Source organism: Homo sapiens, chromosome 3 (assembly GCF_000001405.40).
Source record: "Homo sapiens chromosome 3, GRCh38.p14 Primary Assembly".
NCBI classification, from domain to species: Eukaryota; Metazoa; Chordata; class Mammalia; order Primates; family Hominidae; genus Homo; species Homo sapiens.
Genome location: NC_000003.12, coordinates 27,440,605 through 27,467,256, shown reverse-complemented (window position 1 = coordinate 27,467,256; position 26,652 = coordinate 27,440,605). Strand labels below are relative to the sequence as shown.

The window sequence follows — 26,652 nt, the reverse complement described above, 5'->3', positions numbered from 1 at the left end:
GATTTAAATAATGATCAGCTGTGTTACCATAAGGAGTTTTTGTGAGAATTAAAAATAATGTTTGTAAGTGGCCCAGTGAAAAGTGCATTGTCCCTGGAAGTGGGACATGATTTTAAATTATATCTTATCCAAGCTGAAGCAATGGGACCTTGGGAAAACTATTTAACTTTTCTGAGCCTCAAGTTTCTTTCACATATTTGGGAGAGTAATACTTGCTCCTAAAATTGTTTAGTGTAAGACTATTATAAAAGCTAGTAACAACCACAGTGTATGACTGTGGAATACTAAATAAAACTAACTTCCTCACTCATCCATTGTTAATGGAGATTATTCTTCCCAACTTATATTTCTAAAGAGTATAGGAAAATATAAAGAAAATTAAAAAAATTTTTTTTTTCTTGAGATGGAGTCTTGCTCTTTTGCCCAAGCTGGAGTGCAGTGGCGCAATCGCGGCTCTCTGAAACTGCTGCCTCCCAGGTTCAAGCAATTCTCCTGTCTCAGCCTCCCTAGTAGCTGGGACTACAGGCGCGCACCAGCACGCGGGGCTAATTTTGGTATTTTTTATAGAGATGGCTAATTTTGGTATTTTTTTATAGAGACGGGGCTCCGTCATATTGGCTAGGCTGGTCTCGAACTCCTGACCTCAGGTGATCCACCTGCCTCAGCTTCCCAAAGTGCTGGGATTACAGGTGTGAATCACCACGGCTGTCCAAGAAAGTAAAAATTTTAAAGAATTTAAAACGTATCTTCTCATAATTAAAATTGTGCACCTTAATGTACCCCCTTTTCTTTTTCTTTTTTTTTTTTGAGACGGAGTCTCGCTGTCGCCCAGGTTGGAGTGCAGTGGCGCGATCTCGGCTCACTGCAGGCTCCGTCCCCCGGGGTTCACACCATTCTCCTGCCTCAGCCTTTTGAGTTGCTGGGACTACAGGTGCCCACCACCTCGCCCGGCTAATTTTTTGTATTTTTAGTAGAGACGGGGTTTCACCGTGTTAGCCAGGATGGTCTCGATCTCCTGACCTCGTGATCCGCCCGCCTCGGCCTCCCAAAGTGCTGGGATTACAGGCGTGAGCCACCGCGCCCAGCCAATGTACCCCCTTTTCTGTCATATAAAGAGAAAACATGGGCCCTCTGCTTTGTCAGCAGTATCATTTACATCTAGTTACATTCCTGTATTATGTTCCTGTACAGAAAAAGTAATTTCCCATCTGTAAAGGAACTTAAATGGATACTACATATGCTTTCTTAATCACTTTAATTCCTGTACAGTTTTCTTTCTTTCTTTCTTTCTTTTTTTTTTTTTGAGACGGACTCTTGCTCTGTCGCCCAGGCTGGAGTGCAGTGGGGCGATCTCAGCTCACTGCAACCTCCGCCTCCCGGGTTCATGCCATTCTCCTGCCTCAGCCTCCCGAGTAGCTGGGACTACAGGTGCCAGCCACCACGCCTGGCTAATTTTTTGTATTTTTAGTAGAGAAAACCCCGTGTTAGCCAGGGTGGTTTCGATCTCCTGATCTCGTGATTCGTCCGCCTCGGCCTCTCAAAGTGCTGGGATTACAGGCGTGAGCCACGGTGCCGGCCTAATTCCTGTACAGTTTTCTACCTAATTTAAAATTTCTCGGTTTCCCCCTGCTTTGGCTGATTGAAATTCACAATTAGAATTTTAAGCTGTGTAGTATTTCTTTTTCCTGAATTTAAGATTTCAAAAAATCAGTTAATTTGATTATATAATGTAATGATTGTAAAGCAGTAAAAATGTTAGTACTTTTTTTTTTTTTTTTTTTTACTGTGCCTACCAGTTCAGTTTTAGAACATGGGAAAATGGTTAGGAAAATTTTGAACCATCTTCTGTAGGTAGCTGACCTTGTGAAATGCTTTTTCAAAAATGTTACTTGCTTTTTTATTAAAGTTGTATCTACTTAAAACAAGAATTGATTGTAGGTTTGTGGGTTTTTTTTTTTTTTTTTTTTGAGACGGAGTCTTGCTCTGTTGCCCAGGCTTGGAGTGCAGTGGTGCCATCTCGGTTTACTGCAAACTCCGCCTCCTGGGTTCAAGCGATTCTCGTGGCTCAGCCTCCCGGGTGGCTGGGATTACAGGCACGCCTGGATAATTTTCGTGTTTTTGGTAGAAACCAGGGTTTCACCATGTTGTCCTGGCTGGTCTCAAACCCCAGAGCTCAGGCAATCCGCCCACCTTGGCCTCCCAAAGTGCTGGTGTTGTAGAAAAAACCGGGTTCTTGTCACACGGCCGGGAAAGATTAGGCACGCAGATACTTTGAAAGGTGAGGGGTTACGAATTTATTGGGCGAAAAAGAAAGAACAACACAGCAAAGTGAAATGGAGTCCTGGCTAACAGGCTGTCCATCTCACCAATTGAATTCCAGGTTACTATCCCGGAACAGGAGGGGCCAGGCTCTTCCCCCACTGCAAATGGCGCGAACTTTTCGCGGTTCCACCCCATCCTCCCAGTGCTCGTAAATTGTCTTGGGAGCCCTTTTTACTTGACTGTCTCACTAGGATTACAGGCATTAGCGACCGCGCTGGGCTGGCTGGCTGGCTTTTTTTTTTGAGACGGAGTCCCGCTCTGTTGCCCAGGCGGGAGTACAGTGGTGCGATCTCGGCTCACTGCAACCTCTGCCTCCCGGGTTCAAGCAGTTCTCCTGCCTCACCCTCCCGAGTAGCTGGTAAAGGCGCCCGCCACCACGCCTGGCTAATTTTTGTATTTTTAGTGGAGATAGGGGTTTGCTGTGTTTTCCAGGCTGGTCTCGAACTCCTGACCTCTGCCTCGGCCTCCCAAAGTGCTGGGATTACTGGCGTGAGCTACCGCTCCCTGCCTTGATTGTGGTTTTGAAGAATGGACTAAAATGTCACTATTTCACCCTTAATGAATTATCAGTTATCTTTTATATTTAATGTTATATTGAATTAATAGATCTTTAATCTCTCTAGAGAAACATGATCTTCGTTGAAACAGACTAACTTATATATCCTTCTATATTTTGTGTTCATATAAACACAAACTCACAAATGGGTTTTATCCTTCCGAAAACATGACAATGTGATATTAAAACAACAGTGTGTTTTCTTTTTTTTGAGACGGAGTCTTGCTCCCAGGCTGGAGTGCAGTGGCGCAATCTCGGCTCACTAGCTTCCGCCTCCTGGGTTCAAGCGATTCTTGTGTCTCGGCCTTCCAAGTAGCTGGGATAACAGGCACGCCTGGTTAATTTTCGTGTTTTTGGTAGAGACCAGGGTTTCACTATGTTGCCCAGGATGGTCTCAAACCCCTGAGCTCAAGCAATCAGCCCGCCTTGGCCTCCCAAAGTGCTGGTGTTGTAGACAAAACCGGGTTCTTGTCATACGGCAGGTAAAGATTAGGCACGCAGACACTTTGAAAGGTAAGGGGTTATGAACTTAGCCGGCGAAAAGAACAACACAGCAAAGTGAGATGGAGTCCTGCTAACAGGCTGCCCATCTCACCAATTGAATTCCAGGTTACTATCCCGGAACAGGAGGGGTCAGGCTCTTCCCCGCTGCAAATGGGAACAGGAGGGGTCAGGTTCTTCCCCCCGGCAAATGGCGCAAACTTCGCGGCTCCACCCCATCCTCATCCCAGTGCGCAGGCCACTCGTAGATTTTCTTGGGAGCCCTTTTTATTTGGCTGTCTCACTAGGATTACATACATTAGCCACCGCATTGGGCTTGCTTTATTTTTTATTTTTTGAGGTGGAGTTTCGCTCTTGTTGCCCAGGCTGGAGTGCAGTGGTGCGATCTCGGCTGACTGCAACCGCCACCACGCTCGGCTAATTTTTGTATTTTTTGTATTTTTTTTAAGAGGCGGAGTCTCGCTCTGTCGCCGAGGCTGGAGTGCAGTGGTGCGATCTCAGCTCACTGCAAGCTCCGCCTCCCGGGTCCACGCTATTCTCTTGCCCCAGCTTCCTGAGTAGCTGGACTATAGGCGCCCGCCACCACGCCTGGCTAATTTATTTTTTGTATTTTTAGTAGAGACGGGGTTTCACCGTGTTAACTAGGATGGTCTGGATCTCCTGACCTCGTCATCCGCCCTCCTTGACCTCCCAAAGTGCTGGGATTACAGGCGTGAGCCACCGCGCCCGGCCCTAACTTTTGTATTTTGAGTAGAGACGAGGTTTCGCCATGTTGGCCAGGCTGGTCTCTCCTGACCTCGGGTGATCTGCCCACCTCTGCCCCCGCCTCACAAAGTGCTGGGATTACAGGCGTGAGCCACTGCGCCCAGTCCCTGCTTTCTTAATATTTTACCGACATCTGTTGCATGGGACTTTGTAATTGTAACTCGTTGTTCATAATATCATTATAATATTCCATGGTAATCAGCCATTTCTTTTTTGCTTTCAGATTCTTTGTTTTTCCCGGTTTGAACAGTAAACACTTTTTAAACCCAACTCGTAATCAGTTTATTAAATAGTTAAGCATCTCCAGTGGTAACTTCAGCCTCAATTACTAATGCAGTAGTGATGGAAGTAATCTGTTTAACAATCTTAGAAGGATTCTCCAAGTCTGAGTTGCTTTTAGATTCTCAACTGGAAGCGATCCCGTGTTTTAGGACCTTCACCGTGAGTTTTTCTTGTAGTGATTCTCAAAGTCTTAGGCATCTGAACTGGTCCTTTTAAGATTCCTTTCCTTTGCGCCTCTGTTCAAGCCAGCACACATCATCTTCGGCGATTTTACATTGCGACTGCTTAGCATAATTCCGATTTGTCAAATCTCCACCTCTGGTTCTTTCCAGTATCTTTAGAAGCATGGCTATGGTATTGCTTCCTGATCAACTTGTTCCTCAGTGACACCAAACATCAATGACTCAGGAACATAATGTGAGTCAGGAGCAGGAGTGGGTTGACCAGAGCTCCCCAGTACCTGCGAACGTGTCTTCTTTAAAAACCCCAAACGTTCTTGACTTTATATTTTGTTGGTTTTGTTTCTGTTGAGTAGATACACAGAAGTCATATTGCTGCACCAAATGTATGCTGAAAAATTTGTAAATGAATTCTTGCTAGTTTACTCTCCAAAGTTTTGGGCAATTTACATTCCCAAGTAGGAAGTACAAAAGTGTCTGTGTCTCCCTATCTTTACTAGTTTTAAATGTGAATTTAAAAAAATTTATGGAAAGAAAAATTAAATCTCATGTACGGTCCATTAAAAAATTTGTTTTGCTAATCTGATGGGTCTTAAATTCCATTTGTTGAATATCTAGTGAGAGTGTCCCTTTAGTTATTGGCCATTGGTATTTTTACGTAAGGGAATTACTTGGTTCATCATCTTTTTTTTGAGATGGAATCGCACTGTTTCCCAGGCTGGAGTGCAGTGGTACAATCTTGGGTCACTACAGTCTCTGCCTCCCAGGTTCAAGTGATCCTCCCACTTCAGCCTCTCGTGTAGCCAGGACTACAGGAGCATGCCACAGTGCCCGGCTAATTTTTTTTTTTTTTTGGTGGAGATGGGGTTTCACCATGTTGGCCAGCCTAGTCTCAAACTCCTGACCTCAAGTGATCTGCCCGCCTCGGCCTCCCAAAGTATTGGGATTACAGACGTGAGCCACTGTGCCCAGCCATGGTTCATATTCCTAATCCATTTTTATATACCATTTTTCCTTTTTATTTATTCTTTTTTTTTTTTTTTTTGTAAACGAGGTCTTTCTGTGTTGCCTAGGCTAGTCTCAAAATCCTATCCTCAAGCCATCCTCCAGCCTTGGTCTACCAAAGTTGTAGGATTATCACCATTCCTGGCCTGTTACTGCTTAAAGAAAAGCTATTGGTTTTAATTTATCTTGTAATTGGCTGCCTTCAAATGAATCTGTTTGTTTGTTTTGTTTTGTTTTTGTTTTTTTTTGAGACAGTGTCTCGCTTCGTCACTCAGGTTGGAGTGCAGTGGCGTGGTCTTGGCTCACTGCAACCTCCGCCTTCTGGGTTCAAGCAATTCTCCCTGCCACAGTCTCCCAAGTAGCTGGGATTACAGGTGTGAGCCACCACGCCTGGCCAAATGAATGTGTTTTGTGTGTGTGTGTGTGTGTGTGTGTGTGCTAATTGGATGAATCTGTCATTCTAGGTACACTGTCACATCATCTGCAAATAAAGATAATTTTGTTTTTTTGTTCTGTTTTCATTACATTAGCTCCACATTCAAATTGATGGATTTTCCTATAGACAGTGGAATCTTGCAGCTCGCGTAACAAGTGAAATCTTTAGTGTTTTACACTTTAGTATGTTTGCTCTTGGTTTCTGGTTATAATTTTATTACTTTTGAACAGGTTCATTTTATTTTCATTATACTTGAGTCATGTTGTAAAGGTCTACTGGGAGTCTTGAAGGAATAATTAAAGACATACATCTAGACACATCTTGATGAAATTATTGAGCCAGAAGTGGAAAAACAAAGAAACAAAAACCTGGTGGGTATTAGGCTTCTGGTCAACAGCACTAGATTCTTAAAGGCCATGGCGCAGTACCTGAGAGAAGGTATCTATCCAAAATACGTATCGAGTAAAATGATTTTTGAACATGAAAAGGTTTTCTTTATCACCCATATATTCATCGTGAAGCATATTTCTCAAGGCCTTCTTAAATGAAAATGAGAAAGGAATAATATGAGCTGAACATCACTCAGACAAACTAGGGGAAAACACCCTTGATAATAAATTAATAGAGGGATCTACTTTACTTTAGCGTTTGAAATAGTCTCTTGTGAGCAGTAGGGATTTGGTGACATTGATTCAGATGGTCCAATTTTAATTATTGGTTCTGCACAGACAATACAGTATTTAATTCTAGTACTTCAGATGCTTTTTAATATGAGTTTTCAGTTTTAGAATTAACCAGAGGACAGAGCTTAGAAGGCTTTATTATAAATATTGAATGGAATGTAAATGTTATGCACCTTGATACAAAAAAATATAGGCCCGGTGCAGTGGCTCACACCTATAATCCCAGCATTTTGGGAGGCCCAGGTGGGTGGTTATCTTTTGGGGCCAGAAGTTTGGGACCAGCCTAGCCAACATGGAGAAACCTGGTCTCTACTTAAAATATAAAAATTAGCTGAGCGTAGTGGTGGACGCCTATAATCCCAGCTGCCAGGGAGGCTGAGACATGAGAATTGCTTGAACTTGGGAGGCGGAGGTTGCAGTGAGCCAAGATTGCCACTGCACCCAGCCTGGGCGACAGAGCGAGACCCTGTCTCAAAAGAAAAAAAAAAATTATATATATATATGTGTATATATACACGTGTGTGTGTGTGTGTGTGTATATATATATATATATATAAATAACACTGAGATGTGGAAGAGAGATTGTAAATGAAAGGATATGGGTGTGTTGGAGAAAATTCTTTTCTTTTTGTGGAAAGATACTGTTTAAAATTGATAAACCAAGACATAAAATAAAGTATTTAAAGTTATAATGGCAACTCTAGCAACTAAAGAGTTACAAGACACAACAGAATGTAATTATATCTCATGAGTGGAAGTGGGAATGGGAGGAATGCTTGCTTATTTGGGGGCACTTCTGTAACCTTGGATTTTCCTACTGTTTACAGATTAATTTGATAAATTACTTAAAAATGTAGTTTAAGTGAAAAAAGCAAGTTATATATAAAACAGTAAGTGTGTAATGAATGCTATCTTTTTTGTAAGAATATATATATTTCCATTTGCATAAAAATATTAGAAGGCTGAAAATGGAGTGAAGAGACCAAGGGATCAAATGAGATGTTTGTGTGTGCCTGCTATTAAATAAAATTATACTGAAAATAAATCTTTAAAGAATTAGCCAAACGAAAGCCTATTGGTTAAAGTTTATTTGTTGAGTTACTTTATATTTTTATTTTATCAAATAATGTATTAAACTAAAACTAACTTCACCATTTCACCTATAAACCTTGATTTTTAAAATTTTATTGGAATATTGGTTTGGTAGTGTCCATGATAGTGTTAAATGGGAAACGTTGGAGAAGTGTGTCTTTCGTATTTTGGTGTATAATATTTTGTTTTGTATTTGGGAAATTAAAAAGTCTACGTGCACCTAGTTTCTTCTTCTTTTCCCTCTGGGGTTGCTTAACCTTCCCTTCGTCCCACTCAAATCCCTATGCTTATGGTTTTTATAATCCAGTGGGGGAGGAAAGGACATGTGCTTGACCAGGAGGTTAAGCTCTTAAGTACTGGTGGGGAGGGCCAAGATTTTCCATAGGAAGTATGTTTCAAGAGGTCATTTTGGAATTTTTTTTAATTTAATTTTTTATTTTTTAGATGGAATCTCGCTCTGTTGTCCAGGCTGGAGTGCAGTGCCGTGGCATGATCTCAGCTCACTGCAGCCTCCACCTCCCGGGTTCCAGCAATTCTCTTTCCTCAGCCTCCAGAGTAGCTGGGGTTACAGGTGGGCACCACTGTGCCTGGCTAATTTTTGTGTATTTAGTAGAGGCGGGGGTTTCACCACGTTGGCCAGGCTGGTCTTGAACCTGACCTCAGGTAATCTGCCCACCTCGGCCTCCCAGGGTCCTAGGATTACTGGCATGAGCCACCTTGCCCAGCCAGAAATTGGTTTTTAACCTGATTGTTTGCAGATGTTCTTTGGGGCTTAATGTATTGAGAATTTAAAAAAATCATTGACTGACATATGTCTTATTCTTGTATTTGATTCTTTAGATTTATGTTTATTTGCCAAGTATATATCATACATAACAAGGGTGAAGATTTCAAATATGTAATTAATTATATATGTTATTTAGCTGTTGGTGTTATTGGGATTTCTGTTCTTGGAGAAGTTTAGAAGCCTTAGTTGTATTTGAAGTGTATGACATGTCTATCACCTGTTACGTACAGTCAGTCTCCCTATGTAAAGTTGTGAAAGATTTATTTCTTATTTTGCTACTTATTTAGTGCACGTCATCAGTGAATTCTCCAGGATGAGCTGGGTAGTAAGACTTTAGCTGTGGGATATAAATATTTTTATAGAAAATATTAAATATCATCTATTTTGCTAGCTTATAGAATTGAGGGTACCAAGAAACAAATCTGTATACACAAAGAGCACTTTGATGAAGCAGTAAAAACTAGTTATCTTATTAAATTTTTGCCTTTGTGTATTGCTTTAATATTCTGAATGACAAAATAAGCATTTGTAAAAACATTTCTGCTGCATATCCAAATAGAATGATTGTTTGGAGAAAAATCACTGGTTAATTGCCTGAATTGTGAACTCAACTAGCTGTTATTTTCATGGAACACCATTTTTACCTGAAAGAAAAAATGACAGACTTGGTTAATCATACTTGGGCATTTGACAGATATTTTGTCAAAAATGAATGAAGTGAACTTGTCACTTCAAGAAAAACAACTGATAGTGTTTGTTACCCATGATAATAATTCAGACTTTCAGGCAAAACTTAGAATTTTGGAAAACTTGCATCTGCTAACCTGACTTTGACAGTTTCTCAATACTTGGACTTATGAGATTGTTGGTGATATTATTAACAAGTGTGATTTAAAAAAATTTTTGATATTGTTTAATGAAATGTGACATTTGGAAAAGCTCTAATACCCTGTGAACACATACATTCCAAAAATGTGAGAGATCCATTCAAAGTGCATAGTAGACAAATGGATTTTGATGTAACAATGTGTAAAATGTTCATTTGGAATGGTTTCAGATTCTACGTTGCAACTATTAAGAAACAATATACTTGTTGAGTTTGATGAACTATCAGAGGAATGTCCATAACTACCTGAAGAGAATATTGAAATATGCCTCCCCTTTCCAGCAGAATATCTGTGTGAATATGGATTTTTAAATATACTTTAACCAAGGGCAGATCACATCAGATTGACTGCAGAAGTAGATATGAGAATCCAGTTGTCTTCTATTAAGTTAGATAATTGAAGAGATTTGTAAAAATGTAAAACAGAGGTATTCCTCTAAGTTTTGTCTTGTTTTTGAAAAGTTATTTTCATTAAAATGTTATGTATATTAACATGTAATGGCTTTATTATTGTGTAAATAATTCTGAATAAGTACTTTGAAGTTTTCTGTTTTAATCCTGATGTGGTAACTTATATAAACCAAGGTCCTTTTCGGTCTTCAGGAATTTTTAAGAATGTAGAGAATCCCAAGTCCAGTAGTTAGAGGGGTGCTACTCTTTTTTTTTTCTAGCTATTGTCCATATTAATACTTTGTTTTTTGGTTACAATGATAATTATAAACCATACTCTCACACATCCATCCACATATATTCTTAGAGTATGCACTCTTTGTACTAACATTGCAGAAAGGTTTCAGTTGAAAACGGATTGCTGCATTCCTCTTGGTATTTTTACTTATAACTAAATGTGTATATTACTTTCCAAATCTGTTATGCTGTGACCCTGTGTAAGTTGTAGTTATTAGCTTGGAAGATTAGGTAACTTAGAACACAGTGATTGGCTGTACCATAAAAGTAACTTAGAAGAATTCATCTCTGCAAAGCACAGTGACCTAAATCAGATATGTGCTCACTGTCCCTGGAATCTTCAAGGGAGTTACTGCATTACATCATCAGAAACAAGGCATTTCTATATTACTATGGAAAGATTTCGTCTGGAGAAGAAGTTACCTGTATGTACCTAATTATGATCTTGTCTTTTATTTACAAACGAATTTGAATCAGAGTTTAATAGTGAAGCTTGAAGAAATGTCAGGCTTATTAGCACTGGCTTAGAATAGTATCATCCTTTGTGTCCTTGGCTGTGGAAGTCATCTGTTGAAGAGTAATTCCTTGTGTAAAGTTAAAAATAATTGTAGCATCTTTATTCTTCTATAAAACTAACTCTTTGGATAGTTAATATTACTTGAACGAGTCTTTAAAAATTATTTGGTTAAGATATTAGGAAAGAAATCACTTTATCTTAATAGTTAAGTGTGTTTTGAAGCTAAAGTGTTCGATAACTATGAATTTACTCCATATGGTTCATCATAATTTATGGGAGGCATTACTTTAGGCTATAGCCATATGTCTTATATAATGGAAAAATTAATTTGTGACAGGGATCTCTGATGGCTGTTTTAATGGATTTTTGTAAACCTTAGGGTGTCAAAAGGATATTAGACACTATATTTTAAAGGTGTCTTTTAACATCCTTTTTTTCTAATACTTTGCTTTTGGCATGTTAAGTGTCATTTTTGATAATTTGACCAACAAAAATATAAATTGTGGATTTTGCTTTTTCAGGCAAGATAAATAACTATGAGAGGAATTAGTAAAATATCTTATGAAGGCATAAATCTGTTTCTAACAAAACTAGATTTGATTTTGCTGGGATTTTCATGTTGAATTGAATTTTGATTTTGTAATGTGTTGATGCTGGGTTTTTAAATTTATGAACTAGGTTTTGTTTTTTGTGTTTTTTTTTGAGACAAGGTCTCGTTCTGTTGCCCAGGCTAGAGTGCGGTGGCGCTCTATGCGCTCACTGCAACCTCCACTTCCTGGGTTCAACCCAAGTAACTGGAATTAAAGGCATGCTCCACCGCACTCAGCTAATTTTTGTATTTTTAGTAGAGACAGGGTTTCACCATGTTGGCTAGGCTGGTCTTGAACTCCTGACCTCAAGTGATCTGCCTGCTTCGGCCTCCCAAAGACTGCACTCCAGCCTGGGCGACAGAATGAGACTCTGTCTCCAAAAAAAAAAAAAAAAAAAATTTAGTTATGCAAGTTACGCATGAAAACACTCTCATTGAAAACTGAAACAATAACAATAAATTCATATTTTAACTTGACTTCCATTCAAACCCAGTTCCCTTTCCAGAAAGGAGCAGTTAAGAATTTGGTGTGTATCCCATCAAGCCTTTTCCCCGGCTTTTTACTTAATACAAATAAATACATATGAAAACATGTCTGTGGAAATAAAATTTTGGTTTAGTCTTGTAAATATTTTTAACATAAACTTGATCTTATTCACTACAATGTGCTTTTGCAGTAAACAACTATCTTTGAGACCTTTTCTTACCAGGACACATAGATCTACTTCCATTTTTTGGGTCTGGTTTCTCAAACTGTTTCCTAGCACTCCTTGGTATGAGATTGTCTCCTTACTATTGACACACATTTTTGTTTCATTTTTTTAAATATTGGAAACAATGCCTCAGTGAAAATGAAAGTTCAGAGAAGTTGAACTTTCTCTTGCCCAAGACTTCACAGACAGTATATAGTGGGAGCAGCCTGTGTAGACCATGAGAGGATGTGCTCTTTTTTTTTTTTTAACATGTCATGTTTGGTACATGTGGGAGCATTTATCTATGATAGATATTTAGAGGTCAAAGGGTATGTGTATTTTAAATAAGTATAGTAAATAATATATTTATAAGTATTGTGAGATTATATAACTTAAGCTGTTTTTGAGTCCTTTTTGTTGTTATTTGAAGGTGAGGGTTAATTGTTTTGCTTCATATCCTGGCAATTGTGCGACCTAAATGAAAGTTTGGAATGGGAGCAGTTAATCCCTTTTAGAATAGGCAGTATGCTACCTCTCAGGATACAACTTCTGTGCCTTTTACTTAGGAGAGCTTATCTTTTGTACCTGTGCATGTTCAGAGACTAAATGACATGAAGTCATTGGAACACGTAGCTCAAGATTTTAGAATATGACTTGGTTGATGGATGGAAATTATTATTCATTCTTGCACTTTTGGGGTTTGGTTTGGTTTCCTACTTTGGCTTTTCCTTGTTACTGAGGAAGTGAATGCTGTAAGGCGGCTTGATTAATTTGTCTGTCTTGTTTTTTATTAAAAAATTTTTTTCTTTCTTGAGACGGAGTCTCGCTTTGTCTCCCAGGCTGGGGTAAAGTGACGTGATCTCGGCTCACTGCAACCTCTGCCTCCTGGGTTCAAGCGATTCTGCTGCCTCAGCCTCCTGAGTAGCTGGGATTACAGGCGCCCGCTACCACGCCCAGCTAATTTTTTCGTTTTTAGTAGAGATGGGGTTTTGCCACGTTGGCCAGGCTGGTGTCAAACTCCTGACCTCAGGTGATCCACCAACCTCGGCCTCCCAAAGTGTTGGGATTACAGATGTGAGCCACCGTGCCTAGCCTTAAGTTTCTTTTTAATTAAAAATTTTATTAAATAAATGGAGATGGGGGTCTTGCTATGTTGTCTAGGCTGGTCTCAAACTCCTAGCTTAAGTGATACTCCCATCTCAGCCTCCCAAAGTACTGGGATTTCAGGTGTGAACCACCACACCTAGCCCATCTTCTTAGTCCATTGTATGAAATTGTCTCATGGTCTACATGGCCTGCTCCCACTCCTTTAAATATGGAACTATAGCCAAGTCATTTAATATCTCTGTTACCTATATTAAATTGAACACCAATCATTCAGAGTCATATACATGTATCTCCTGATATCCAAATATATTTGATTTACAGTTTGGATATCTAGCCTTTAGAAAGTAAATTTGGATATCAAAAGATCTGCATTTTCTTAATATACTGTGTCCTGTTCTGAGTTTTGGATAACAAATAGTGGTAGTTTGGATAGCAAGGAATTTATTTGAAAATTTAATCAAATCAGTTCAGTTCCTGAGTTTACTTACTGAGAATTTGGACACCGAGGGTTTCCATAGCAGCAACAATTGTATGTCAGTTTACTTTGTATACATTTTTAGACGGAGTTTCATGCTTGTTGCCCAGGCTGGAGTGCAATGGCACGATCTTGGCTCACCAATACCTCTGCCTCCCGGGTTCAAGTGATTCTCCTGCCTCAGCCTCCTGAGTAGCTGGGATTACAGGCGCGTGCCACCACACCTGGCTAATTTTGTATTTTTAGTGGAGATGGGGTTTCTCCATGTTGGTCAGGCTGGTCTCGAACTCCGACCTCAGGTGATCTGCCCACCTTGGCCTCCCAAAGTGATCCAATTATAGGCGTGAGCAACCAGGCCCGGCTTCAAAGACTTTTTGAGGGAAGGGTATTTGTTCTCTCTCTAGCAGTGGCATAGAATCTTGTGTATAATAAGTTAATAATAAGTAGTTAATGATGATTAGAATGTCCTTTTGAAAGTTATTACAAGTTGAGAAGGGAAGTTAAAGCTAAAATTTTATCCTCTTAAAAATAGCCTATACAACATTTTCTAATAAATATGTTTAGTCTTTTTGTTGAACTGAAAAGAGAACAAAATTATGAAGGTGGGATTTTCACAACTGCAGCTAGAATTTCCCTAGAGGTTAAATTTTGGCATGAATTTTACTTTGGGGGAAAAGAAAAAGTTCTTTTAACTTTTGTTAGCTCTTGATTAATCAGTTAAAGTGGTACTGCATGTTGAGTCTGCTTATTTTTGACAATTTTATGTTTGACCATAATTCAGTCCAGTATAGCTGTTTCCTGTTATTTAGGAGACTTAAGAGCAAAGATCAAGAAAGAAAGCATTACATGTTGACATCTAAGGATTCCTCTCACATCACATTTTCTTTAATCTCTGACCCTAGAAGGTCTGTCTTTTGAGGATGAAATGAATATATTACCAGTTATTTGGTAATTTGCATGGAAAACCATTTAAAAATCTTTGCCATTTCACTTCTCACTCTGGGATTTTTGAATGGTCTTCTGTGGATTTAAAAAGCTTGTAAACATAATTTTAAAAGAATGCAATTAGCTGTAATGAGTTCAGTTATTTGAGAGAAAGCAGTCTGTTTTATATTTTGTTGCCATTTCAAAGGATGCATATAATAGGTCCTCAATAGATTGTGATCTCATGAGTCAATGAGAATAATTTGTTTTTAGGGTCCTGATGAAGAAGCTGTTGTGGATCTTGGCAAAACTAGCTCAACTGTGAACACCAAGTTTGAAAAAGAAGAACTAGAAAGTAAGTTGGTTTAAAATAACTTACTTCGCTTAGTAGGATAATTTACTAATTAATGTTTTTAAGTATCCTTTTAAGTTTTACCTAGTATTTGTTGAGTTTTTTTGTTATTGTTGTAAGGTAAAGCGTACATTGAGAAGAGTGCCATTTGAAAGTATTGGCAAAAGATAGAGTTCATAATGCTTCTCAAAATTTAGTGATGGTTACCATTAATTACCTTAACTTGGAAAACTGAAAGGACACAGTCACAAAATTAGTTAACTCTTATTTTTTTCATTTCTAGCAGGCTGAGTAATTTGTGTTATGAGTACACTAGAGTGCCAGACTAATAAACCACAGTTATCATTAATTGTCATCTCAACATTCATTTTATAGGTGTTACATTAGCCTTTTAAAATGTTGCAATAACCTCTCCATAGAGTTGTAGAGCAACTGAGTTATTTGCCCATCTTTCTTCCTTAGACAGGAAGAAGTCCTGGCAAATGGTTTCTTTTCTTTTGAAAATAATTTTAGATTTACAGAATAGCTGCAAAGACAGCACATAGTTCCTCCATACACTTCACCCAGTTTCTCCTAATGTTAACATTTTGCGCAGCCATCATACATTTGTGTAAATGAAGAAATTAACATTGGTTAATTACAAATTTAATTAGAATCTGACTAATTACTAGTTTACTGTTAAACCACAGATTTTATTTAGGCTTCACTAGTTTTTCCACTAATGGCCTTTTTCTGTTCTAGGATTCAGTTGATCCAGTTGAGGATCTGTAACAGTACATTTAGTTGCAAGTCTCCTCAGTCTCCTAATCTATACCAGTTTCTCATTCTTTTTTTGTTTTTCATGACCTTAACACTTTTGAAGAGTAGTGGTTAGATATTTTGTACAGTGTTTCTCAGTTTGGGTTTAGTCTGATGTTTTGGCATGAGTAGGTGGAGGTTATGGTTATTTGGGAAGCATACCACAGAAGTAATGTTCCCTTTTCAGTGCACCATATCTGTGGACAATATGATATCAACATGACTTATTATTGATGATGTTAACTATGAACATGTGGTTAAAGTGGTGTTTAAGGCAAATATTTTGATAGACATTTTTGGGGGATGTTTATAGGAACTACATCCTTAAGTTAAACTCTTCTGTGAGAGCTAGTACTATATTGAGTTATTGTTTATTTTAATAAAAAAGAGATGGACAGAGAAACAAAGTTTGATTTATGTTGTAAATGTTTTCATTTATATTCTAAGACTTTTTTTTAAACTCTAAACGATTTTTTTTTTTAACTCTAAAAATTGGCTTTAAGAGCCTAGGCTTGTTAGGGTTTCCAAAAAGAACCTCAGTTATCTAGAAGCTTATGGTTAGATCCTGTGAATTATAGGAGCTAGGGAGGTTAAAATTTTTAGCGGTAATTTTACTAATTCAAATGTACAGTCATACATTTAATGTTTAATGTCAACCCTCACCTATACATAACCTGGATATTCCTTCGATTCCTTTGGTTATCACAGGCCCTAAGCTCTGCATACTTTGTACACATCTTCAAGTTTGGTATCAAGTTTGAGGGAGAGATTAAGTTTAAGAGAGTTTGAGTAAATAGGCTTTTGATAGAATAAAGTAAGGGCAGAAGAAAAAGGAAAGAAAAAGAAAAAGATTAAAACAGAGGACACTAGAGGCAATAGTAAAAGAAGAAAACACAATAAGCTTAATCTACCAATCTTTGGATTCTAGCGTGTTTTTATTTATTTTATCTATCCCTTTCTTTCTAAACTGCACACTCATAGCATTTATTTTTATCTTGGTGCATTGGGGCTTCTGTGCCAAGACCCATTAGTACTAATTGGAGGAACAACTTTGTAATTCCCAGTGCAGTGATGGGAATTTGACTCTTTAATTTCCACTTTTCTTTATGTTTTGAAGGAAATAGTTTCATTAAAATAAAATTGAGTTTTTTTATATTTATTTCTTATTACTTTTTAAATGAGATTCACATAACATAAAATTAACCATTTAAATTACACACTTTTTTAAATGTATTCACTATATTATGCAACCAACACCACTGTCTAATTCTCGAAACATATCTATAATTCCAAAAATAAACCCTGTATAATTAGCTTTTACATTTGGAATTTTTGTTTTCTAGTAGTTGAGATTTAATTCCATAGACATTTATCGAGTACTTACCATGTGCTAGGCTGAGTACTGGGAGAAGTTTAAACAAATAGTTCAGTATGTTTTGTTAAGTTGTCCCTCTTTTAATTTAAAAGGTGATTATTTATGAGGTTAATATATTGGCAGCTGAAATAAGATGTCAGAGTATCACATTTTTAAGCCTTACCTGGGAACATGAGTGTCAGGCAACTCAAATTTTATGCTGCTCTGTGCCTGTCCGAAAAATGGCATGAAATCTCCCTAAGTATTGATTTTGTGGTTACAAGTAAATGTTAGTGAGTCAGCAACTTCGCAAATATGGAATCCCATGAATAATGAGGATCAACTGTACTTTCAAGTCACATATAAAGATGGCAGTCCTAAGTTTCTTGAAATACTTATTTTCTGAGCATTTTATGGAATTTTTAGGAAAGGAATGTCATTAATCATTTGTATTTCAGCCTATTAACTTTTTAAATTGTGTACATAGTTGCAGATTAGTTGACCTTGTACTTCACATCCCTCTTCACTCAACACTCATTTGATATTTGACATAGTGCTCCTAGCTCTGTAGCTTTCCTGATTCAGTTTCATCTAGTGGTCAAAAACAGACTGCCTTTCATAACTATTTTGTTATTATACTGCAAAGTTAGGATAATGCAATATCAGCAGTAGCTTTTTCTAGTTTAAAAGCATGCAATAACTTTACTTACTGCTTTTTTATTTAATCTGACAGTTTCTAACCTTTATTTGGATTATTTACATTTAATGTAGCTCTCAGTAATTTGGACTTTATTTTTATTTTGGTCTTTATTGATTTTTTTTTCAAAACTCAAAAATTAGTAAATAAATATTTGTAAATATTTATACATTATATTTATTATAAAGTAATTGTTACTAAAATGTTATTTATATATTATATTTATTATAAAGTATTTAATTGTTATTAAAATATATCTCTTAAGGACCTCTACTAACTATGGTTGGCCATAAATGTAGATGGAATAAATATATGTCTACATAGTATGATCTCAGATGGGCTAAGCTCTTCTTTCTTAAGATATCTTTTTAGGCCAGGTGCGGTGGCTCATACCTGTAATCCCAGCACTTTGGGAGGCTGAGGTGGGCGGATCAGGAGGTCAGGAGTTCAAGACCAGCCTGACCAACATGGTGAAACCCCATCTCTACTAAAAATACAAAAACAAAAACAAAACAAAAAAAAAGATATCTTTTTAGATGTGCAAATACTTACATAAGTGATTTGTAGATTTAGTGTAATCATCTGTCAGTGATATTAGCCCTGGGCACAATATTCTGTGTAGTGCTTTATAAAATAAGAGAAGTAACTGGAGACTACCATTGTTAATTACGTGAACTTATATTCTTTATCAGAGTAGATTTTGGAGTACTTTTGTATATATCACTTTTTTCTCTTTTGGAAAGCTAGTAATATGTTTCTGAACCTTTTAATAGGTCATAGAGCTGTATATATTGGTGTTCACGTCCCGTTTAGTAAAGAGAGTCGTCGGCGTCATAGGCATCGCGGACACAAACATCACCACCGGAGAAGAAAAGATAAAGAATCAGATAAAGAAGATGGACGGGAATCTCCTTCTTATGGTAAGAGAAAACAGTTCTTCTTTAGCAGTTTAAAGTTCCTATTTTCCTGGAAAGTATTTTCTTTTAATTGAATATTTCTTTTAAAAATTGTATGTATGCATTAATGTAGTCACATTGTATGGGGAATGTATTGTATTGGGGAATATCAATTGAAGTAATAATTTTTTTTTTATAATTTTTATAAGAAAAATCTTTATAGGTCAAGATCTCTTTCATGTAAGTGAAAAAATAAAGGGCTTTGTTTTCTTCATTGTATCCCATCCTTGAAATTGTAAAAGTTATGCCTAGTCACTTAGGCTCAAATTTAGTAGTGTTTCATTTCCTGTACTAAATTTTTAATTACTTACATATGCAATGGATAGACATTGGGAATGCTAAGGCTGTCATGGAAGTGATTAAAGTTTTTTTCCTTCTTCTTTTTTTTTTTTTTTTTTGAGATGGAGTCTTACTCTGTCACCCCGGCTGGGCTGGAGTGCAGTGGTACGATCTCGGCTCACTGCAACGTCTGCCTCCAGGGTTCAAGCGATTCTTGTGCCTCAGCCTCCCAAGTAGCTGAGATTACAGGCGCACGCCACCATGCCAGGGTAATTTTTGTATTTTCAGTAGAGACAGGGTTTCACTATGTTGGCCAGGCTGGTCTTGAACTCCTGACCTCAAGTGATCCACCTGCCTCAGCCTCCCAAAGTGCTGGGATTACAGGTGTGAGCCACCATGCTTGGCTGTTTTTTTCCTTCTTACACCACAGTTTTGGCCAGAAGATTTTATCCACTAGGCTGGATTATTTGGTTTTCTGTGCAAAAAAGAGTACTCTTATTTGATAATATTAGTTATATAAAAGGACAGGGTTTTTTTGTTTGTTACTTGAAAGCAGAGAAGTTAGTGGTACCAATAGAAATCAGAAAGAAAAGCAGGAACAAGACTGTTATCTGATGACGAGCATAGATAGCCATGTTTTAAGTGGCCCTGAGAGTGGGAAAGGAAAGAGCCAAAAAAAAAAAAAAAAAAAAAAAGGGCTGTAAAACCTGAGGAGGATTCTTAGGCATTATACTTAGTTAGCATACAGGGCATTATTAGTATAAGGCCATCTGTACATCATGGGTCCTAGTGTTTGCTTTCTAGCAAAGAGAGCTATGTGCTATGTGAGCCACATCCTATAGGCGGTTGCATGCTATGCTAAAAGAAAGTTTTTGTGAAAAGGCAAAGAACAAAAAAGTTGTTATGTATAATATAGTTACTGCATGAACATAGGAAGGAAAATACTGATGGCATAGTAAAATCTAAAGTGCAAATTCTGTGTCTAAACATTCTACCAAGCCCTAGACAAATGGTCTTATGTTTAACCATCTTAGTATTTTTAATATATAACCATCTTAGCATTTTAAAAATACAAATATTAAATTCATTTTATAGATGAGGAAACTTCAGCCCAGTGAGACTGACAGGAATCTATTAAGAAACTCTACTCAGCTGGGCGCGGTGGCTCACGCTTGCAATTGCAGTACTTTGGGAGGCTGAGGCAGGTGGATCACGAGGTCAGGAGTTCAAGACCAGCCTGGCCAACATGGTGAAACCCCGTCTCTACTGAAAAAAAAAAAAAAAGTTTAGCTGGCTGTGGTGATGGGCACCTGTAATCCCACCTATTTGGGAGGCTGAGGCAGAGAATTGCTTGAACCCGGGAGGCAGAGGTTGCAGTGAGCAGAGATTGTGCCACTGCACTCTAGCCTGGGTGACAGAGCGAGACTCTGTTTAAAAAAAACAAAAAAAACAAAAAAAAACAAAAAAAAACTCTACTAAGAGATACTGATGACCTAGTAAATCTAGTAAATATAATACTAAGTGGTCATGTAGCTAGCAAAGGAAAAACAAACACTGAATTTGGAAAGGGTCACTAGTGAACTTTTTTTTGGTGATACTAAGTAATTTAGAAGTAAAAAATACTTAAACAGTAAAAAACTGTTCTATACATCACAGCCATTCAGTTTAGGATATCCTAGGTTCTTCTGTGAGTAAATGGATCAGTATGCTTCTCTAATTCATACTGAGTAAAAAGGCACACAGTATTTTTATGGACAGAAATATTGTTTACTTAACTCTTAGTATATTGATATGTTCACCTAAGTATGTGGTTTGATGTTTTAAGCTAGGATATGGGATTAAAAGTGTTAAGTATAGGGGCTTCAAAAATAGATTATAATGAAGAAAATATTTGACTTTTCAAAGGAATAACTATTCCTAGAAAAGATTTATGTCCCTGAAGTTTTTGTCTTAACTACCAATTTGTATCCAAGGAAGTGCTAAAAATGAAGTCTCTTCGTTTTTGCTCTCTAAAGGGATTACACAGGACTTTGCTTCTAAACAGGATGGAATAACGGGGATTAAATTTTCTCACCATTTTATTTTAATAATTATTCCTATTTGGGGGCTGTTTTCCAATGCGTTTTCCTTTAGCTTTATTGAGGTATAATTAACAAATAAAATTTGTATACATTTAAGGTGTACAGTATGATTTTTATATATATATATACACACACACATAGTTAAATGATTATCACAATCAAGTTAATTAACACATCCTTAACCTCATATAGTTGCCTTTTATTGTGTATAGTGAGAATACACATAATTAAAGTCTACTCTCTTAGCAAATTTCAAGGGCACTATATATATATATATATATATATATATATTTTTTTTTTTTTTTTTTTTTTTTTTTTTTTTTGAGACTGAGCCTCTCTCTTTCACCCAGGCTGGAGTGCGGTGGCACGATCTCAGCTCACTGCAACCTCTGCCTCCCAGGTTCAAGCAATTCTCCTGCCTCAGCCTCCCAAGTAGCTGGGATTACAGGTGCCCGCCACCACGCACGGCTAATTTTTTTTTTTTTTTTTTTGTATTTTTAGTAGAGACAGGATTTCAGTATGTTGGCCAGGCTGGTCTCGAACTCCTGACCTCAAGTGATCTGCCTGCCTCAGCCTCCCAAAGTACTGGGATTACAGGTGTGAGCCGCTGCGCCCAGCCATTACAATATTATTAACTATAGTCATCATGTTGTACGTTATTAGTTCCCCAGAATTCATTTATCTAATAACTGAAAGTTTGTAACTGCCATCCCATTTAAAGTAGCTGGAAAACCAGATAAAATATATGAAACAGTAGTTTTAAGACATTGTATAAGAGGCAGCACAGGACTTTGGTTTCTGAGAGAGGAGAAGCAAGTGAGAGAATACCTATGATGACCTGAACTTATTGCCCAGAGACAGTTTCCAGGCCACAGCACAGGGAGGGGAACCCAAACAGAGCCTAGAGTTGAGGAGCATAGATTGGAATTTGGGGAGGTCAAAGAGGCTAGAATTTGAGGTGTAGAGTTCAAGAGAGTGGAGAGTACTCAGAGTTCCAAAGATCTGAAAAAGGATCCTTTTGAATGTTTGGCTGATCACTGGTCTGGCCATGTGTGAGAGGAAACTACCTGTGGCCCGGGAAAAACTACCAGAAAACAGTAGTAGGCTAAGCACTTTCTGTACTTTCACACAAGGCTGGGAATAGTTTGCGTTCCCTTCAGCCACAATGGAAAGACTTTGACACATACAGGGTATTGGATAGAGTTCTCAGAAGGCTCTGGCCTTAGTAGTGAGTCTAGATTAGTTTTACAACAAAGACTGCAGTGAATCTGCTTTGAAGATTCTTAAAGGCAGGTCTTGAAAGAATTAAATTAACTATATGCCAGGGCAAAGTATTACACTACTAAAAGAAAGAAGATAAAATCTAGCACCTGACCATGTTAAATTTCACAATATCTGGAATCCAAAAATTATCAGGGATATAAAGAAGCAGGAAAATATGAGCCAAAATCAGGAGAAAAATAATAAGACAGATCCAGAAATGGCAGAGTTGATTGAATTAGAAAATAAGAATGTTAAAGCAACTAGCATATTTATGCTCAAAAGGATAGAGAAGAATATGACTGTTAAAGAGAGCTATTGAAAATAGGAGGAAGCCCCAAATGGAAATTCTAGAGAGGAAAAAATACAGTATCTGAAATGGAAAACACACTGGATAGGATTAACTGAAGATTTACTACAGCAGGAAAGAAAAGTAATCAGCGGTTTTCAAGACAGTGATAGTAACTATCCAAAATGAAACACAGAGAATGAAGTGACTGAAAAAGAATGAAGGGAGCATCAGTAATTTGTGGGACAATATCATGTAGTCTAATATGTATGAGCGGAATCCCAGAAAGGAGGATATCAGAAAAGATACTTGAAAAAATTATAGTTGAAGAATTTTCAAACTTAAGGAAAACATTGAACTCATAGATCCAAGGAGCTGAACAAAACCCAAGAAGAAACATAAAGAAAACATATAATGGCTCATAAGAATCAGATTGCCAGAATCAGAATGTAATAAGCCTGAATGTGTATGCATATAACAACAGGTGCAGAATACATGATAAAATTGGAAATAGATCAGTCCACAATTAAGAGTTGGAGATTTTAGCTCTCCTCTCTGATAGAGTAAATAAACAGAATATTGATAAGGATATGGAAGACCTGAATAACATTGCCCAACCAGATTGATACTGACATTTATAAAACACTTCACCCAAGGACAGCAGAATACGTTCTCTACGAGTGCAAATGGAATATTTACCAAGATCATATTCTAGTCCATAAAACAAGTCTCAGTATAATTTAAAAGAAGTGAAAGTATGTTCTCTGATCACAATAGAATTAAACTAGAAATGTCTCAAGAATAATTCCTAGGTATTTGGAAATTGAAGAAAATACTTCTCAATAATCATGGGTTAAGGAAATAATCACAACAGAAGTTAGAAAATATTTTGAACTCATTGAAAATGAAAATAGTACAGGCAGGTAACCAAGACAGATTTTTGCCAAGTAAGGACAGTTCTGGTATGTACAGGATTCATGCATGGTACTGTGCAGAGTGAGGACTAACATTCAAATTTGTTAGATGCAACTAAAGCAGTACTTTAGAGAAAAATTTGTAGCATTTAATCCTTATATTAGAACAGAAAAAAGTTGAAATCAGTGACTTAAACTTCTAGCTAAGAAACTAAGGAAAAAAAATAGGGCACATTGTAAGGAGGAGATGGGAAACAAAATTCCAGGAGAATGAATAAAGTAAAAATCAGAAAAAAAAACAATAGCAGACCTCAATCAAACCTAAATCTAGTACGTTGAAAAAAGATTATTAAAATTGATAACTCTAAAGCCAGATTGATCAGAGGACAAAAAACCCCCACAAATCACCAGTATTAGAAAATTTCGATACACATCCCGCAGAAATTAGAAAACTAATTAGAGGGCCAAGCCTGGTGGCTCATGCCTGTAATTCCAGCACTTTGAGAGGCCGAGGCGGGCGGATCACCTGAGGTCAGGAGTTCGACACCAGCCTGGCCAACATGGTGAAACCACGTCTCTACTAAAAATAAAAAATTAGCCAGGCGTTTTGGCACGTTCCTGTAGTCCCAGCTACCCAGAGGCTGAGACAGGAGAATTGCTTGAATGCGGGAGGCAGAGGTTGCAGTGAGCTGAGATCTCACCACTGCACTCCAGCCTGGGCGACAGAGGGAAACTCCATCTCAAAAAAAAAAAAAAAAAGAAAAAAAGAAAAAAGAGAATGCCCAGCGCGGTGGCTAATGCCTGTAACCCTAGTGAGACAGCCAAGTAAAAACGGCTCCCAAGACAATCTACAAGCACTGGGAGGATGGGGTGCAGCAGCAAAATGTTCACACCATTTGCAGAGGGGAACAGCCTGGCCCCTGCTGTTCCAGGATAGTAACCAGGAATTCAGTTGGTGAGATGGACAGCCTGTTAGCAGGACTCCATCTCACTTTGCTGTGTTGTTCTTTTTCCCTTTTGCCCAATAAATTCGTAACCCCTCACCTTTCAAAGTGTCCGCGTGCCTAATCTTTCCCTGCCATGTGACCAGAACCCGGTTTTGTCTACAACACCAGCACTTTGGGAGGCGAAGATGGGCTGATTGCTTGAGCTCAGGGGTTTAAGAACAGCCTGGGCAACATAGTGAAACCCTAGTCTCTACCAAAAATACGAAAATTAACCAGGCATGCCTGTTATCCCAGCTGAGGCACAAGAATCCCTTGAACCCAGGAGGCGGAAGCTAGTGAGCCGAGATTGCGCCACTGCACCCCATCCTGGGAGTGAGACGCTGTCTCAAAAAAAAAAAAAAAAGAAAATGAGCTGTAGTTTTTGACGTCACATTTCATGTGGATGACGTCACATTTTCATGGGATAAAACCCATTTGGGAGTTGTTTATTACAAAGTATAGAAGGATTAATAGGTTAGTCTGTGTTTCAACAAAGATCATGTTTCTCTAAAGATATACAAGATCTATTCAATATAATATTTAATATAAAAGATAACTGATAATTCATTAAGGGTGAAATATTAGGGACATTTTAGTCCATTCTTCAAAACTACAATCAATGCCAGGAGTGGTGGCTCATGCTTGTAATCCCAGAACTTTGGGAGGCTGAGGCAGGCAGATCACCTGCCTTGTCACCTGGTCAGGAGTTCAAGAACAGCCTGGCCAACATGGTGAAACCCCGTCTCTACTAAAAATAATTAGCCAGGTGTGGTGGCACGTGCCACCAGCTATTCAGGAGGCTGAGGCAGGAGAATCTGGGAGGTGGAGGTTGCAGTGAGCCGAGATCGTGTCACTGCACTCCAGCCTGGGTGACAGAGTGAGACTCCCTCTCAAAAAAAAAAAAAGTCAAACTAATAAGAGAATATTATGGATGACTTTGTGGCAACTAAATTGATAATTTACATGAAATGGACAAGTTCCTCTAAGAATATAAACTAGCAAACAGAAATGCATTAAAGAAGCCAGACATGTTGACGCATGCCTGTAATTTCAACACTGGGAGACTGAGGCAGGAGGATTGCTTGAAGCCAGGAGTTCAAGACCAGCCTAGGCAGCAAAGCAAAACCCTGTCACTACAAAAAATAAAAAATTACCTGGGTATGGCAATGTGCATCTCCCCAACTGCTGGGGAGGCTGAGGTGGATTGATCCCTTTAGCCTAGGAGTTTGAGGCCGCAGTGAGCCATGCTTGTGTGACTACACTTCCAGCCTGGGCAACAGATACCGTCTCTTAAAAAATAAGTAAATGAAAAAGGAAGAAATGGATTAAAGACATTAAATGTGTAGTCTAAAACTTTCTGACAATGAAAATTTACTCTCAGATGGCATCAGGGATGAAATAAAACAAACTTAAGGAAGAAATAATATAGACTTTGCTAGAAAACATAAGAGGAGGGAACACTTCTCAATTTTGTTAATGAATCCAGCATTACCCTGATACCAAAACTAATCAGGGATATTACAGGAAAAATACAACTACGGACAAAATATTTTTGTGCATATGGATTAGAAAATTCCTAGCAAAATTACATTGTATCCAGCAATGTTTAAAAAGGATAATATATCATGGGAGTGGTAGGCTGAGTGATAGCCTGCAAGATATTCATCTCCTAAACCCTCGAACCTGTGAATGTTACATTATATGGCAAAGAGGACTTTGCTGATGTGATTAGGTTAATTTTTTTTGTTATATATTTTTTTGAGACGGAGTCTCACTCTTGTCACCCAGGCTGGTGTGCGATGATGCGATCTTGGCTCACTGCAACCTCTGCGTCCTGGGTTCAAGCGATTCTCCTGCCTCAGCCTCCCAAGTAGCTAGGAGTACAGGCCTCTGCCATCATGGCTGGCTAATTTTTGTATTTTTGGTAGAGACAGGGTTTCACCATGTTGGCCAGGCTGATCTCAAATTCCTGATCTCAGGTAATCCACCCACCTTGGCCTCCCAAAGTGGCTGGGATTACAGGTGTGAGCCACCACATCTGGCCTATTTTTTATTTATTTATTTTTGTTTTTATTTTTGAGATGGAGTCTTGCTGTGCCACCCAGGCTGGAGTATAGTGGCATGATCTTGGCTCACTGTAGCCTTTGCCTCCTGGGTTCAAGTGATTCTCCTGCCTCAGCCTCCTGAGTAGCTGGGATTAC

The 26,652-nt window shown here is 38.1% G+C and overlaps 1 protein-coding gene and 1 pseudogene across 25 annotated transcripts in view, besides 2 other annotated features; one reads left to right on the top strand and one right to left on the bottom strand.

Moving 5' to 3' along the window:
- SLC4A7 (solute carrier family 4 member 7) overlaps positions 1-26,652 on the top strand; it is a 111,662-nt gene that overhangs the window by 17,128 nt on the left and 67,882 nt on the right. For 19 of the 25 annotated variants that reach the window (NR_135541.2, NR_135544.2, NR_135543.2 and 16 more), the window contains 2 exons: positions 14,759-14,840; positions 18,460-18,606. Coding sequence is in view for 20 of the 25 variants with exons in the window: in XM_017007527.3 (XP_016863016.1) it covers positions 14,759-14,840; positions 18,460-18,606 (229 nt within the window). In the remaining 5 variants the exon portion in view is untranslated. Of the gene's footprint in view, positions 1-10,478; positions 10,607-14,758; positions 14,841-18,459; positions 18,607-26,652 lie in introns of those variants that run through there. The other 6 variants (XM_005265600.6, XM_011534261.4, NM_001258380.2 and 3 more) reach the window with 1 other exon arrangement.
- Positions 2,337-3,196: an enhancer, noted in NCBI's record as "H3K27ac hESC enhancer chr3:27505552-27506411 (GRCh37/hg19 assembly coordinates)". NCBI's record gives its function as "activates a minimal SCP1, AML or CMV promoter by ChIP-STARR-seq in primed H9 embryonic stem cells {active_cell/tissue: H9 hESC(primed)}" and the evidence as "EXISTENCE:reporter gene assay evidence [ECO:0000049][PMID:30033119]".
- On the bottom strand, positions 4,438-4,751 carry RPS20P15 (ribosomal protein S20 pseudogene 15; annotated as a pseudogene).
- Positions 24,428-24,929: an enhancer, noted in NCBI's record as "H3K27ac hESC enhancer chr3:27483819-27484320 (GRCh37/hg19 assembly coordinates)". NCBI's record gives its function as "activates a minimal SCP1, AML or CMV promoter by ChIP-STARR-seq in primed H9 embryonic stem cells {active_cell/tissue: H9 hESC(primed)}" and the evidence as "EXISTENCE:reporter gene assay evidence [ECO:0000049][PMID:30033119]".